Raw genomic sequence first — 16,664 nt, 5'->3', positions numbered from 1 at the left:
GTAGGCTGAGGAGGGAGGATCGCTTGAACCCAGGAGGTGGATGGAGGCTGCAGTGAGCCAAGATTACACCACTGCATTCCAACCTGGGCGATAGAGCAAGACTCTGTCTCAAAAAAAAAAAAAAAAAAAGTGAAAAGCAATGCAATGGAGAAAGGATAGCCTTTTCAACAACTAGTGCTGGAACAAAAAAAATGGACTGCAATTCTTACCTTGTACCATATACAAAAAGTAATTCCAAATGAATCATAAACCTAAATGTAAAACCTAAAACGATAAAACTTTTAGAATACATAGGAGAAAATCTTTGTGACCATGAGCTAAGCAGAAATTTCTTAGAAACACCACCAAAACACAATTCAGAAAGAAAAAGATTTAGCTGGACTTCAACTGAATTAAAAACTTTTGTTCTTCAAAAGACACTCGAGAACCAGTTGCTGTGGCTCATGCCTGTAATCCCAACACTTCAGGAGGCCAAGGCGGGCGGATCATTTGAGCCCGGGAGTTCGAGACCAGCCTGGCCAATGTGGTGAAATCCCATCTCTAGTAAAAATACATAAATTAGCCAGGTGTAGTGGCAGGTGCCTGTAATCCCAGCTACTCAGGAGGCTGAGGCAGGAGAATCGCTTGAACCCGGGAGGCGGAAATTCCAGTGAGGAGAGACAGTGGCCACTGCACTCCATGGGCAAAACTCTGTCTCACAAAAAGAAAGAAAGACACTGAGAGAATAAAAAGACAAGGCAGACAAGAAAGAAAGATTTGCAAATCATACATGTGATAAAGGATTTATACCTAAAATATATAAAGAACTCTCAAAACTAAATTTTAAAAAGCCTAATAAATGCACAAATATTTGAACAGACATGTCACTGAGAAGATATACAGAAGTCAAAGAAGCACATTTAAAAAATGCTTAACGTAATATATCATTAGGAAAATGCAAATTAAAACCACAATGATAAATGCATCTATTAGAATGATTGTAATTGAAAAGACTGATCATATTAAGTGTTGATGAGAACGTGGAGGAACTGAAACACTCATATACTGCTGGTGGAAATGTAAAATGGTACAACTACTTTGGAAAACAGTCTGGCTGTTTGTCAAAAAGTTAAACATATACCTACCAAATAATCCAGCCATTCGCCTGATTAATAAAGTAAAAGCATCTGTCTTTATAAAGATGTGGGCACATAAAAGTTTACAGTAGCTTTATTTGTAATAGCCCCAATGGGAAATAATACAAATGTCTATCAACAAGTGAATAAATACACAAAATATAGTTAATCCCTACAAAGGAATATTACTTGGCAACGAAAAGGAATGAACTATTGATACAAACAACAACATGAGTGAACCTTAATACAGTCGTGCAGAATGAAAGAAGCCAGACTCAAAAGTATACATGTTATATGATTTTATTTATATAAAATTATAGAAAATTCAAACTAAACTATAGTTTAAAGAAAGCAGGAATGGGAGGGAGAAGGGATTACAAGAAAGTGTAAGGAAATTTTGTGGAATGATGGATGTGTTAATTATCTTCACTGTGATGGTGGTTTCACAGATCGAACTTGTATACTTCATGTGCAATTAATTTTTTTTTTTTTTTTTTTGAGATAGAGTCTCACTCTGTTGCTCAGGCTGGAGTACAGGGGCATGATCTTGGCTCACTGCAACCTCCGCCTCCCGGGTTCAAGCAATTCTCCTGCCTCAGCCTCCCAAGTAGTTAGGATTATAGTTGCTTGCCACCACACCCGGCTAATTTTTGTATTTTTAGTAGAGATGGGATTTCACCGTATTTGCCAGGCTGGTCCTGAACTCCTGACCTCATATGATCCGCCCATCTTGGCCTCCCAAAATGCTGGGATTACAGGTGTGAACCACTGTGCCTGGCCTGTGCAATTAATTTTATCTTTACTATACTTCAATTGTCTACTATACTTGTTCAATTTTAAAATATACAGTATACAGACTGTTCTGCCCTGGCTTTTTTTAAAAACTTAATATTCCTGTTGATGGTTTCTTTTAAATATGCAAAGCTTTCTCATTCTCTTTTTTATAGCTACCTAAAATTTTATTATATGCATGCATAGTAATTGATTTTACTATTCCCCTACTGGTGTCAATTTACAAACAATACTGCATTGAAAAACGTTGTACAAACTCATTTCCTTCATACATAAGCATATTTACAGGATATATTCCAAGAAGTGAAACTGCTAGGTCAAAAGAAAAGACAATTTTGATTGCTGTTGCCCAATTGCCCTCCAGATCAGTCAGCTTTCAATGCAGGAAACAGAAGCCATTATAGATATTTTAAACAGGAAGGCACTTTTTAAATGGAATTTGGTGCTTATAAAGTTACTGGAAGGGTTGAAGGAGCAGGGTTTAGGAATCTAAGTTGAGCCTATGGGAATGAATCCCACAGTGACACAAACATGATTCACTGGGGGAACTACAACCTCTGGTCACCATGGAGCCCTGCTGGGAACCAGAGGCCAGCCACTACAACCTTTCACTCCTGGGAAGCTGGAGAAAGAAGATGTAACACCACAATCTAGGGGTTGGAATGTCAGATTAAGAAGCTGCTGCCACCACCACAGCCTATCCATATTCAGGAAGCTGAACGATAGACACTTGATCACTGCTGCATGGAAACGTTTTTCACTACCTCGTAACATTCAAGAACTTCAAAACTTGGCCTCTGCTTCACTTTTGCCTTTCAAATCATGAGGAGAGAGCATATAGTTGAGAAAACTTAATTAGCATTCAGACTGCCCCCCCATCTGCATAAAAAGTTCTGGGTAACAGTTTAATAATTTCTCAGCCTCTGCAACTTGAAGAGTACATTGGGTAAATAAATTCAGAATTCACTGTCATCCTTAGCGGTTGTTCCAGTTTACCCCTCTATCAGCAAAAATACTTGTTCCCTCCATTCTTACCAATAATATCTAGAATATTACAATGTTTTATAAAACTAAAAAGTCTTTCTTGATTAATAGGTTAAAAAACTGGTATCTCAGTATAGTTTTGTCTTATACTTCTCTTAGTAATAAAGTTGAACTTTTTTTCCGGCTTGAATCATTTTATTCTTTTCTGTGAAAACTGTTTACAATTTTGTACCTTTTTCTTTTTGGATCATTGGACTTTTTCATTTCTAGGTGTTCTTTATAAATTAAGCAATGCATGATATGATTTGAAAATATTTTTTCCAAATTTGTCATTTTTCTTTAGACTATGCTTATGGTGGTTTTTTGCTGTGAGGAATTTATTTTATATAGTGATATAATTTATTGTTATATGTTGGGCATGGTGCCTCACACCTATAATCCCAGCACTTTGGCAGGTCGAGGTGGGCAGATCACTTGAGGTCAGGAATTCAAGACCAGACTGGCCAACACTGTGAAACGCCATCTCTACTAAAAATACAAAAATTAGCCAGGTGTGGTGGTGCACACCTGTAGTCCCAGCTACTTGGGAGGCTAAGGTAGGAATAATTGCTTGAACCTGGGAGGCAGAGGTTGCAGTGAGCCAAGATCATGCCGCTGCCCTCTAGCCTGGGCAATAGAGTGAGACTCCATCTCAAAAATAATAATAATTTATTGTTACAAATTTATAGTGAAAACATTATCATTTCTTATTGTAAATTCTATTCCAAATTTTATATCAAATTCAGGAAATCCTTTACCACACTAAAATCTTTAAAAATTCTCTGACAACCTCTTTGGGTACTTTAAACATTTCAGTTTTCATATTTAAACTGGAATGCATTTTGGTTTATGAGGTATGAATCCAGCTTTGTTCTCTATAGCTACCCAAGTGTCCTACTACCTTTAATGAATAAACCATATTTTCCCCACTGAGCTGAAACATCACTTCTCCTCCACTAAATTCCCATATCTGGGTTCATTTTCCTTCTGCTTGAATGATCTGTCTAGTCATATGCCAGTTCCAGACTGTTTTAATTATTGGAGCTCTCTTGTTTAAATATTTCATAAGGCCAGTCTTTCCTCATTGTTTTTTCAGTTTTCCTGGCTAGTCTTGCTTTTTTTTTTTTTTTTCCTCAAAGAAACTTTGGAATCAGCGATCTAGTTTTTTTTTTTTTTAATCCTTATATTTTTATTGGGATTGCATTCAATTTAGAGAACTGAAATGTGTATGTTGTCTTCCTATCCAAGAATATGATATGCATCTCCATGTGTTTGAATTTATTTTCATGTGAAATACAAAGTTTTGGTTTTGTGGTCACGCATATAACTTGTTTATTCCTAGGTATCTTCTCTCCTTTGGTCTTACTTTAAATGGGGCCTTTTCTTCTATTATATCTTCTAACTGGCTGTTGTTTTTATAAATGAAAGCTTTTTATTTCTGTGATGAATTTTATACCCAGTGACTGTATTCGTTTTAAGAGACTTTCAGTTGACCCTTTTAAGCTTTGCACTATCATCTACAAATACTAACTTTACCTTTTCCTCCATTTTTAATGGGTCCAAATTCTCTTACCTCTGTTAAATAAATCTTCCAATAGGTTTTTAAGTTCCTTGAGGACATTAATTATAGTAGTACATTTTGTATACCTTTCAGAGCCCCTGTAAAATGCTCCACATAGAATGGTTTATGACTAACCCCCATTATGAAAATGGAAACACGAAGTGTCTATTAAATTCTGAATCTGCTCAATGTATTTATTTCCACCACTTTTCTCAATACCACCCACAAATGAAATAAAAACTAATTTACTTCTAAAAAGAGATTATTCCATTCTATCGCATCTAATGCTTTTTTCCTCTCACAAATCTTTAAAATGTTATGTACTTTTTTTTCCGAACGAAACAGGCTTTTTAGCTTACAAGTCTTTTTCTTGGATTTACATATGAAATTGTAAGCCAAACTAAAGCTCTTAGTCAACAGGTTTGATTAAATGTTCTTGATGATACTCAACATTGTCTCTAGCAGTTTCCTTGAAATTATGTATGATTTCACTTAAAAACTACACACTTATTAGGTACAACATGAGGGGGACAAATGACCAGTAAAGCTTAAAATTAAGTAGATCCAAACCAATCACTGAAATAGAAGATTAAATGCTACAAACTATACAAGATAATAAGTCTTACTTTATAGTCAGGGATCTTATGTTAACGTATTTCCTAATGACACCAGTTTCCTAGATAGGAAGGATAAGCCAGACACATGTCCATCCTAATATTACAGAAAATCAGAAGTTCCACTTTGATAAAGCACATATTTATTCCTCAGGCTATTTGCAAATGTAAGCATTCTAACCTCTAAGTTAATCTTTCATAAGATGAAGTAAAAGCTAGAAATAATATGAAAATTAAGGAAAGTACAGACAAAAAGTAGCTCTTAAAACTGCCCAGCAAAATGGATAAAATTTGTAGAGTTCCCTCACAGGGCCATGAGACACTATCCCAAGAGTAACTCTAAAGCTATTCTCAAATCTCATGATGAGGTTCTCTACTTCAATAACCAATTCCTCCTTGGACCTTATATTTCTTGGATTTTACATTGTCTGTGTGTATACCACAGAGGCTATTCTATGCTTTGCCTCTTTTCCTGTCCATTTCCTGTTTAATTCTCAGAGTGCCCCATCAGGCATTTGCAGAGAGGCTCCTTGTAGCATTTCTTGGCGAGTATGTACATTAGAATGTCATAAAATTTCATTTGAGTTTATATGGTAGTTTTAATGGTTTGCTTTGAATCTCCCATTAGATGTATTAAATTAAGTAACTGGCACATGCAATTTCTAGTTGCAAATAAATAAAAAGCAAAAACAGCAAAATTATCTTGAAAAACTGAAGAAGTAAAAAACTTCACATATACTTTAAAAAATTCCATCACAGACTAAGGATTTTTGGACACAAAATTCTACTCAGTTTTCAACAATGTAGCAAAAAATGGGGGTGAACACCTCCAGTTCTCTAGTTCCAGTGTTTCCAAGAGATGACAGGTATCATCCTAATGAGCTTCAAAAAACCAGAGCAGAGATGTAAGTGAATTCAAGGACAGCATTACTAAAAATTATGGCATATAAAAAATTTAGAATTCTTCATGCAAATACCAGGTAGCTGGAAGCTTCTGTGTAATTTATAATTTACTGATCACAAATAAAGGCTTTTTTTTTCTTCTTTTGCCCAACTCTGAAAGAGGTATTAGTTAACCTTAAATTAGTTAAATTTGTGACTAGAGGTCATAGAAACAGTCATAGTCTTCCCTAATGATGTTTAAGCTGACTTTAAATGTCAGTAGAAGGCATTATTACGCTAGGGACATTCCCAAATTTCTCCATTTTATTAAATATAAGGTTTTGTTCTGTTTTGTTTTGTTTTCAAGCAGTGCTTGGCTTAGAACAGCTGCTGCTGCTTCTTTTTTAAGCACCACTACAAATACCATGATGCTTTGACAATATTTTTAAGGGGCTATTCATGGATTCTTAACTTTTAATATTCTGAATCACAAATCTTGCTCATTTTTATTTCTCTAATGAAATCCATCCATATTCCTAGAATTCATTATCAATAGAAAAGGACAAATAAAAGTCACTTGCCAGACTAGTGGTCTTAATCATCATTGAACTCTTTAGCTCTTAGTTCCATATTTAAGAAAATTCCCCCCAATTTTCAATAATCTTATCCCTGTCAAACATTCCACAGATGAGAATTGCTTACACATGGTGATTACTATGAAAATAATTCGACATCTAGTTAACAACTTTTAACTTTTTTTTTGAGACAGAGTCTCACTCTGTCACCGAGGCTGGAGTCCAGTGGCACCAGGTCTGCTCACTGCAACCTCCGTCTCCTGGGTTCAAGCAATTCTCCTGCCTCAGCCTCCCAAGTAGCTGGGATTACAGGGGCTCACTACCATGCCCGGTTAATTTTATATATATATAATATATATATGAAATATATATAAATTTATAAATATAGCTGGGCTCGGTGGCTCACGCTTGTAATCCCAGCACTTTGGGAGGCCGAGGCGGGCGGATAACAAGGTCAGGAGATAGAGACCATCCTGGCTAACACGGTGAAACCCCATCTCTACCAAAAAAATACAAAAAATTAGCCAGGCGTGGTGGCGGGCGCCTGTAGTCCCAGCTACTCGGGAGGCTGAGGCAGGAGAATGGTGTGAACTCGGGAGCCGGAGCTTGCAGTGAGCCGAGATAGCGCCACTGCACTCTGGCCTGGGACAGAGCGAGACTCCGTCTCAAAAAAAAAAAAAAAAAAAAAAAAAAAAATATATATATATATATATATATAATATATATATGGTTTTGTTTTGTTTTGTTTTTAGTAGAGACAGGGTTTCACCATGTTGGCCAGGCTGGTCTCGAACTCCTGACCTCAGGTGGTCCACCTGCCTTAGCCTCCAAAAGTGCTGGGATTACAGGCGTGAGCCACCATGCCACAACTTTTAACTTTTTTTTTTCTTTTTTCTTTTTTTGAGACAGGGCCTCACTCTGTCGTCCAGGCTGGAGTGCAGTGGTGCGACCTCAGCTCATTGCATCCTCTAACTCCCAGGCTCAAGCAATCCTCCCATCTCAGCCTCCTGAGTAGCTGAGACTACAGGCACACACCACCACACCTGGCTAATTTTTGTATATTTTTGGATAGAGATGGGGTTTCGCCATGTTGTCTACACTGGTCTTGAATTCCTGGGTTTAAGGGATCCATCCACCCACCTCAGCCTCCCAAAGTGCTGGATTACAGGCATGAGCCATGGCTCCCAGCCAGCTTTTAACACTTTTGATTGGAAAGGGCCAGCTTTAGTCTTAGCAGAGCAGCAAATGTCAGCCTCAAGGCAACATACCAAAGTAGTAAATTATTAGCCTAGAACCTAGAACCCAGAACCCAAAATCTACCATCTCCTTCCTTTAACAATGCCCTTTCTGACCATCTTCAAGAAAGTTCACCCAAAATTATGTCTTTCGCATAAATAAATTTCTTATGCCACTACTTTTGGCTAAAATCTTTTGATGGGGATGAATTACTCCTCTCACATCCTCTAGCTTTTCCTTTACAGGACTTTTATGTTTTGAAGAACTCATTAAATCACTAAATTTACTAACCTTTTGTGAACTAGTAAGAATGAAAGTAACTTGTGTATAACCAACTAATGGGATAGTTTGTGTGTGTGTGTTTAAACGGATGATTTCGCTCTATTTTCTAACCAGAAGGGCCAGGAGGACTAGATGATTTAACTTTATTATATTGTAATATCAAAAATATCCTTAAAAGACACTGAAAAGATGTTTAGAAAATTCATATTCATTAAACCATCTTTCTGACCTGTATCTTCAATTTCAGATAGAAAAAAAGGGACCCACACTCTTAAACTGGAGAGTGCATTTAGAATTACACAAACTATCCTACTATGACTCAGGAATGGATTGTGTTCTGGCTTACTGTGTGGTGACAAGGCCACATCTGTCAAAGGCAAAGAAAACAACATGATTGCTTTTTAAATTGTATTTTTTCTAGGTTAAAAAAAATCACCGCAAAACCAAACCAAACCAAACAAAAATGGCTGCTGTCTAAATAAGCAGGAGGCATCAGTTTATTCACTGCTACCACAAAATTTGGAAAAGCAATTTGGGTTAGAGGATCACTTAATTACCCCCTTGAAGCTAGAAAGTAAGTTATTCAATTTTAATCTGGCTTGAAAATGTATTATTTGCAAAATTCAAAAACATTCTTTCCAGCTTTACCTCAAATTCACTGTCAGCTTCAACTACTGTCATTCTAATTATCTCACTCCAAAAGTTTGGCAGGTACATATCTGATCAAACACAGAATGTGAACATGTGTGCACAGGTGACCTTATATCCCCAGATAAATTACTTATATCTTGGACTATGTGCAACAGGTATCAGCTCATCTCTAGGTTCCAACGATAAAGGAAGGCACTTTGGCTATCTGGTTCTCCCATGTATGTACACTGGGCACATAGCAGTTTGTGCACTGGGCATACAGAAGGCACTCAACAAATGAGTGAAACTAACCAAAGTCATAAAAAGCTGAATGTTTTAAAATTTTTTAAAATACAGAAACAATTATTAAACTCACATATATGCTTAACCTGCTTTCTGAATTTTCATTTAAAGTCAAACATGAATAAATGCATTTGTTCTGGGGCACACGTTTAACCTTGTGTCATAGCACACATATGCTAAGCTATAGTCTTGACAGTGCAGAGAAGCTCCTATAAATTGTTGGACACTGTAATGCTCTCCAAGTAGGAAAATACACCAAGAGGATGAGCCCAACCCAGAGTTTTATGTGTATTAAGGAGCTTGGACTTGTACATTGCTCTTTCCCAACCCTATTTCCACAGAGGATAGCATTCAAGAGTTTGACTTGACTTTCCCAGAACGCTACAAGTTTTTAAGCTTGATGTATGGTAAACTTACATCTCAAAAGTCCAGTAAGTAGTTAACTTCTAGTTCCAGAACTATTACTGCTGATTTAACTTGCTTTAAAAGAGTATGATTCTAGGGTGGGCATGGTGGCTCATGACTGTTATCCTAGTACTTTGAGAGGCCAAGGCAGGAGGATCACTTTGAAACTAGTTCAAAAACCAGCCTGGGCAACAAAGTGAGAGCCATCTCCACAAAAAAAACAAAACAATTAGCCAGGCGTGGGTGGTGGTGTTATGCACCTGTAATACCAGCTACTTCGAAGTCTGAGGTGGGAGGATTGCTTAAGCCCAGGAGTTTGAGGCTGCAATGAGCTATGATCATGCTACTGCATTCTAGTCTGTGCGGCAAAGCAAGACCCTGTCTCAAAAAAAACTTCCAGAAAAAGAAGTATGATTCTAGTTGGCCTTGGTAAATTGGTCAGTTGAGGGTGGAATTTGATATAGGGTAGAAGTTCCATTCAGGGAATGGAAAATTTACAAAGGCCAAATATAAATATAAAACTGCATAATAAAGACACAAACCAAACTGTTAACAATGGTTACCTCTAAAAAGGGATGTGGGATGATGAGGGAAGGGAGATCTAAAAAGGAACTTTTGTTTTTACTCTATATTAAAGGCACAGATCAAATACAAGTTTGAATTTTTGGTAGCATCATGTCCTGTTATGGGAGTTGCTGTCAGAGTTGTATAAAGACTTGTTTTAGTTTATCTTGTACTTTTCCCCATCAGTTATACCTTTCCTCTTTTTCCTTCTTCCCTCCAATAAAAAACGTATTCTGATAAAAGAATCTGCTAAAGTTAACTCCTAGATTTTATACACTAAGCAGTCAACCGTCAGCCAAAAGTAATGAACTTCAAATACATTACAAGAGGCCTTCTAGTTTCCTGATTCACATGCTTAAAGCAGACCCTGATTCTGTCTAAGCATTGGCTTGCATTTAAATTCTATGATACTGACTGGGCCTAGTGGCTCACATCTGTAATCTCAGTACTTTGGGAGGCTGAAGTGGGAGGAATGGTTGAGGCCAGGAGTTCAAGACCAGCCTGGGCAACACAGCAAGACTTCCCATCTCTACTAAAAATGAAAAATACAAAAATTAGCCAGGCATGGTGGCTTACACATGTAGTCCCAGCTACTCAGAAGGCTGAGGCAAGAGGATTGCTTGAGTCCATGAGTTCAAGGATGCAGTGAACTATCACTGAGCCACCACACTCCAGCCTGGGTGACACAGCGAGACTGTCTCAAAAAAATGAAATAAAAAAATAAATAAATTTGGATACTAATGAAATCCACCTAACAGACCAGATTCCTTTTCAGGTTTCATGGAGTCAGAGGCTATTTTAAAAAAGAAAAAAAGAAAGAAAAAAAAAAGAAAAAGGCAAGACACATCCATAGAAATGTGGGAGGAAATAAAATGAAAAAGTCTGTATTTACCAAAGAGCTCCTAGACACGTTGGCAAGAGAAAAGGCAAATGGCAAAACACATGGGTAAGACACAATTTATGTGAAAATTTAAAACCCACAACACTATGTATTTCTATATGTAAACATATAGATATATTAATACATAGCAAAAAGATATTTGAGGAGTATATACTAGAGACCAATAGTTACTACCATTTGGGAGCACTACCAAAGGGCACTTTGACAATATATGTTTTTTATTCTTTTCCTAGAACATTTTCTTACATAATTAAATACAAAATGAGGAACTTTCATATTTCTAGGAAGTACCACATACAATGATTTCCTTAAAATAGCTTGCTACTAAAGCTAGAGTTTAGCAGATACCACTTCTTTCTACTTTTCAACATTATACTTTATCCTTGCTATCCCTCACCATTCTCTCATTGATCTACACATGTTCAAATGTAAAGAAATCACCTTAGCTTTTTCTTAAAATACGTGATAGTGAAGAGATGATACAGTTGCCAGAAAGTATCAAAATCAAGACTGAGAACTGGTATAGTGGGAATAAAGGCCACTGAAGTAGGCAACTCCACCTCCTCTTGACTTGTGCCTTTAATATGATGCATTTGAAAATATGTGCAGACTTCTAAAGAAAGATGCTTTAAGAATAAGAGACCTAACTGGGTATGCTGTGTAACATTAACTCATCATGTTTACTCATATATCTACTGAAGAGAAAATGTTGCAGTAGAAAGGTTAATGCGCCAAAGCAGTTTTCCAGAAAAGCAAAAATGTATAAATCCTAGATAGCACAAGAACTGCTAAAGGTCTATCAATTAAGTGGTATTTATTTAGAAGAGAAGCATTTCTGCTTGAAATTGAAAACTCTTAGGAGTATTTCTAAATTTTTTCCAATACATAACACTATTAAAATATTACAACTAGGAAAATTTTGCTCAAAATTGCAACTGTTTTCTTGAAAAGGTAAAGGCCATCAGACATATGTGTAGCACGAATTTTGGTCCAGAACACCAAATATATTACTCTGTTATAGTTGATTACAGATAACAGAACAGCAACATACTAAAATCAATGCATATTATGAAATCAAGTAGATGCGGTTCAATAAATTCCAGCTTTTAACTATTAAAGCCTAGGTAATGCATTTTATAATTTAGAGAAGAGTACTTAGGGATCTACTCAGTTTATATCTTTAGACATTATTGTGAGGCTCCTGCGGGTCACTACTACTATCTATATCCTTTTCCAGAAAATATCAGCATCTTAAATGGTCACAAATTATGTATTCCCTCTTTGTCACACTGAATCTACAGAGAAAACTGAAAACTCTACAGTGGCAAACAAGTCAAAAGATGAATTCTAAAAGTTAAAGGCACAGATCAAACTACTTTTAGAGATAACGTAACGGGTAATTATAAGAGTAAACTATACTATCTGAATATGTAAGATCAACTATCTAGAATCCTGGTAGCACTTATAATACAGAAAATTGCAAATTATATAATTAAAGAAATAAACAGTATCACAATCCATTTTTAAAATGTTCTTAATATTTGGCATAATGCATAGTTTGCCTTAATTAGAAACTCTTTGATAAAAGTAATGTACTTTTCAAAGTGATTTAAAAAACTGTCAGGTTGTAGTTTTTTATTTACTTGACTTCCATTCTATTCCTCCCTATGCTCTTTCCCTATTTTTCCAATTTTATCTTTCACTACTAAAAACCTAAAAGTGAAGTACTACTCTTCTTCTTCACTTTAATGTCAAATATAAAGTACTCCACTAATAACATATGGCTACTATTAAAAAAAAAAAAGATTTCAATGCAGTAACAGCCATAGCTTTAGGGTATTCTTAGGCAACACCCCAGACAAAACAAATCTGAACACTTATATTTCATACAATAACATAATGCTTTTTTCTTTTCACATTACTGCTTACCCCAAAAGCATGGCAATATACATTTTCAAAAACAATCTTCCCCTGTAATTACAATGAAAAACAAGAAGCAGAATACCCATCATCATTACAGAAACAATGATTGTATACTTTTAACATAATATTCAGGTATTTTTAATCACTATCTTAAACCAATTTTTAATTATATAAGTTAACTGTATATGCTTACTGGCTGAAAAAATACTGGCACAACCTACCTACTGCTTTTAATACACAACGTGGTAACTTGTGTCTTCTGCCTAATAGCACAATTATCAGAAAAAGAATGCAAAAGGTATATTAGAGAAATGAAGAAAGCATCAGAAAAATTTCCTCAGCCTTGGTTTATCATCTCTTTGTCTTTCCTTTGTATATATACTGAAGTTGACTGGTCCTCTTTCATTACTCTATTCCTACCCAAAGACCTTTTGGGTTTCAAAGTGACAGCAGCCATATCATGTTGTCTATTGTTGCTATTGAATTAGCCTCAATTACAGGCCCCCACTAAAAAGGATAAAGAAATACGTGAGGTTAAGAAAGATAACACAGAAACCAAAGGAGAAAAAAGAAAAAAAAAATATGAAGAATAGTTATGACCCACCAATAATTATCTGGCAATTCTGGAGCAGAGGTTCCTATCTAGCTGTTTCATTAAAGTAGGATGAAAAGCTGAAGTATAGCTCTCCAATTATCAGGCTTTAGAACGTTTTTTTAAAATAAAGCTCAATTTCATCTCTAACTAGTTTTTGTGCCTTTTACGAGATGGAGGTCTCAGTGTTACCTAGGCTGGATTTGAAATCCTGGCCTCAAGTGATCCTCCTGCCTCACTCTCCCAAGTAGCTGGCCCTACAAATGCATGCCTCTGTGCCCAGCTACTCTAGTTTTTAAAACATATTTCACTGTAATGAGAAAAGCTTATTTCCTATCTACTTCTACAACAGTAAGAATGGAAAAGCTTTCTTCACTCTGTCTGAAAGAGCCAGGAGGTCAAAAACAAAGTACCGTGATACCCATGATTCTTGCTACCTTCCCCCACCCCCACATAAATACTAACTTCACAGGAAACCAAGAGACTACAGAGTACAATTACCCCATAAAAGAAGACAATTTTAGCTTATCTCCCTGACTCTTCCCACCCCAACTTCCTCAAAAACACATAACAGAAAAGTCTGTGTTGAGTTTAGCAAGGACAATAATTAAAGAAGGTAAAGTGAAGGCTCACAGAATGCCTCCCAGTTTAAGTTAAAATTCCAACATCATAACATCAGGGTGTCAATTCATTCAACTTTTAACCCATTTGAGAAGGTTTAAGTTATTAACTTAAAAATATGGCAGTATTTCTTTTGTAACTATAATCTCTTTATAGCCTCTTAATTGCTCATGCTAATAGCTTTATTACATACTACTGCTTCTTATAAGAAGTAAATCCAGGGGCCATTCCATTTTATCTTAGACATAATATTTACTAGTTTTCCAAGCACGACAGAAATGAAAAAATATATATATTAGAACAAGAACAATTTATGTTAATCTCTACAATCTGTGTTCCTTCTGCGAGCAGTGCCTGATTCTACTAAAATTAACACATTTAAGTTCAGTCTTATGCTTAAGAAAAAAAAATCTAATGAGGGACTAATTTATAAAGTATACACAAATATAATTCTTTAATAAATCTTTCCAGTGTTCACTATATCTGCATTACATGTAATGTTTCCATCCACAGAAACTCAGGATAGTTCTTGTAAAATGAAACAGAACATTCTGTGTTCATCTCTGGCAAGCAATGAACAAATAGAACTTGCTCACAAAGGATCTAAAAGTGCTGCCTCAGGAACATAAACTACGTGCTATATGAATGAGTCTTGGTTAACTGGCTACTATCTGGGATCTCTTCCTCTGCTCATACCACTGAACCCATCTCTTATAAAGCCTATGAGAAAATGAAAGCTATTGCAGAAGTGAAATTCAACATGAGCCACCCAAATTCTTCTAAGGTAACCATTCTAAAGCAAAATCAGCAGAAGTCATCTCTTCTATAATAACAAACAAAAAACCCAAAAGGCAAATGCTACTGCTCAATCATCAGATGAACTCACAGAGGCAAAAATATGTGACAACAGCAATAATTCAAGTAAAGTATGTATGAAAATTTAAACACGCCATGTTCAAGTTAAGACAGAAGTGAAGGGGAGCTATGATCTTTATATTAGTCAAAAAAGCTAGGCATAATCACCAAATGTTAATTCACTTTACAGTCATCAATGAGACTATTGTATATATTTTTGCACCTTGCGCTTGTAAAAGCAGATAAAATATTTAATATGTAATTTACAATGTATTTTACCAGCTCAGCATACAGGATGTATACAGATTATATCAAAGTAGTAGACAGTTACGGGCCTGTGCAAACCCTGCAAAAATAGTACTTCAGATATCTGCTAATTAAAAACAAAAACAGTTTGCTGTTTAGAAGTGATACAATTTCAACTACCACAAAATACAAAGGGCTGCAAAAATGTAACCATTCCAACAACATATATAAGTTATTAAATAAAGATTTGATTTGAAAGAATATAAATGAAGACTTTAAGTAGGTCTTTTCTACATGCATATTATTCCTCATTAAAGAAAAAATATGTAAAAAGGCCATTGGTAATTGCTTTGTTAACATTTGTAGGCCGGGCACGGTGGCTCACGCCTGTAATCCCAGCACTTTGGGAGGCCGAGGCGGGCGGATCACAAGGTCAGGAGATCGAGACCATCCTGGCTAACCTGGTGAAACCCCGTCTCTACTAAAAATACAAAAAATTAGCCGGGCGTCGTGGTGGGCGCCTATAGTCCCAGCTACTCGGGAGGCTGAGGCAGGAGAATGGCGTGAACCTGGGAGGTGGAGCTTGCAGTGAGCCGAGATCAAGCCAGTGCACTCCAGCCTGGGTGACAGAGCGAGACTCCGTCTCAAAAAAAAACAAAAAAAAACAAAAAAAAAACAAAAAAAAACATTTGTAGAAAATGCCAATTCTCTGGTCACAAACTCCACTAAGTTTAGCACTTAAGGTCTCTGCAGTGTTATAAACGTAATTTAAAATACTGTTAATTCTATAATTCCATTGGTAAAATAATGTGACTTGGAATATGGCAGTCTTCATGTTGAGGGCAATGATCCACAGTTTTGTTCTGTCTTTTAATTTCTTAGGCGTGAACAGTTATCCAGAAGAACAGCACCCTCCACCACTGGTCTGGGCTTGAGGTTCATCATCAATAATCTGTACACCTCGCCTTGCAGTTCCCGGCTGACTAGAGCCATTGCCTTTTGCTCTCTCATCCACTTGTGCTGTTTCTATCATCCCTAAGACAGAGAGAAAGCAAACATTATTAGGACCACAATATTTGTGTTTTCTCTTTCTAAAATTTCAGTATAACACTATGATAGCTATTTCTGACTTTCGACCAACAAAGAAACTAAATATAATGAACATTGGGTCAGCTCACTAAAACAGCTTCACCTGCATGTTTTAAAAAACTAGTGTCAAAAACTAGTATCAAGTAGTAAGCTTATTTATCCAGTGGTATAATGGCCACAGTGATATCAATAAAGAAAAAAATTTTTTTGCTCTGAACAATTGCCTGCGTACAAGTATAATCCTTAAGATTTTCCAAACACACTTAGAAATATGTCAAAGAAGTTCAAATTATTCCAAGTAATATTTAGGGGGCAGGATTTATTCTTCAACTAGAAATGTAATACTTTTAAGTAAATGATTCTTTTTATTTTAGTTTTGAGAGACAGGGTCTCGCTTTGATACCCAGGCTGGATGTGCAGTGGTGTGATCATCACTTACTCACTGCAGCCCCTAA

General features: G+C 36.2%; 1 protein-coding gene across 1 annotated transcript in view; it reads right to left on the bottom strand.

The window, feature by feature from the left end:
* Window positions 1-1,399: 1,399 nt before the first annotated feature.
* The window catches only part of RAB21 (RAB21, member RAS oncogene family), a 45,424-nt gene continuing 30,159 nt past the window's right edge, over window positions 1,400-16,664 (bottom strand). Inside the window, exon 7 of the mRNA NM_014999.4 lies at window positions 1,400-16,155. Within this exon, the coding sequence (NP_055814.1) occupies window positions 16,013-16,155 (143 nt within the window). The 3' untranslated portion in view covers window positions 1,400-16,012. The remainder of the gene's footprint in view (window positions 16,156-16,664) is intronic.

This window comes from Homo sapiens, chromosome 12, assembly GCF_000001405.40.
Source record: "Homo sapiens chromosome 12, GRCh38.p14 Primary Assembly".
Taxonomy (NCBI): Eukaryota; Metazoa; Chordata; class Mammalia; order Primates; family Hominidae; genus Homo; species Homo sapiens.
Note: the sequence above shows the minus strand (reverse complement) of the source record. Positions and strands in the feature narration are given on the sequence as shown.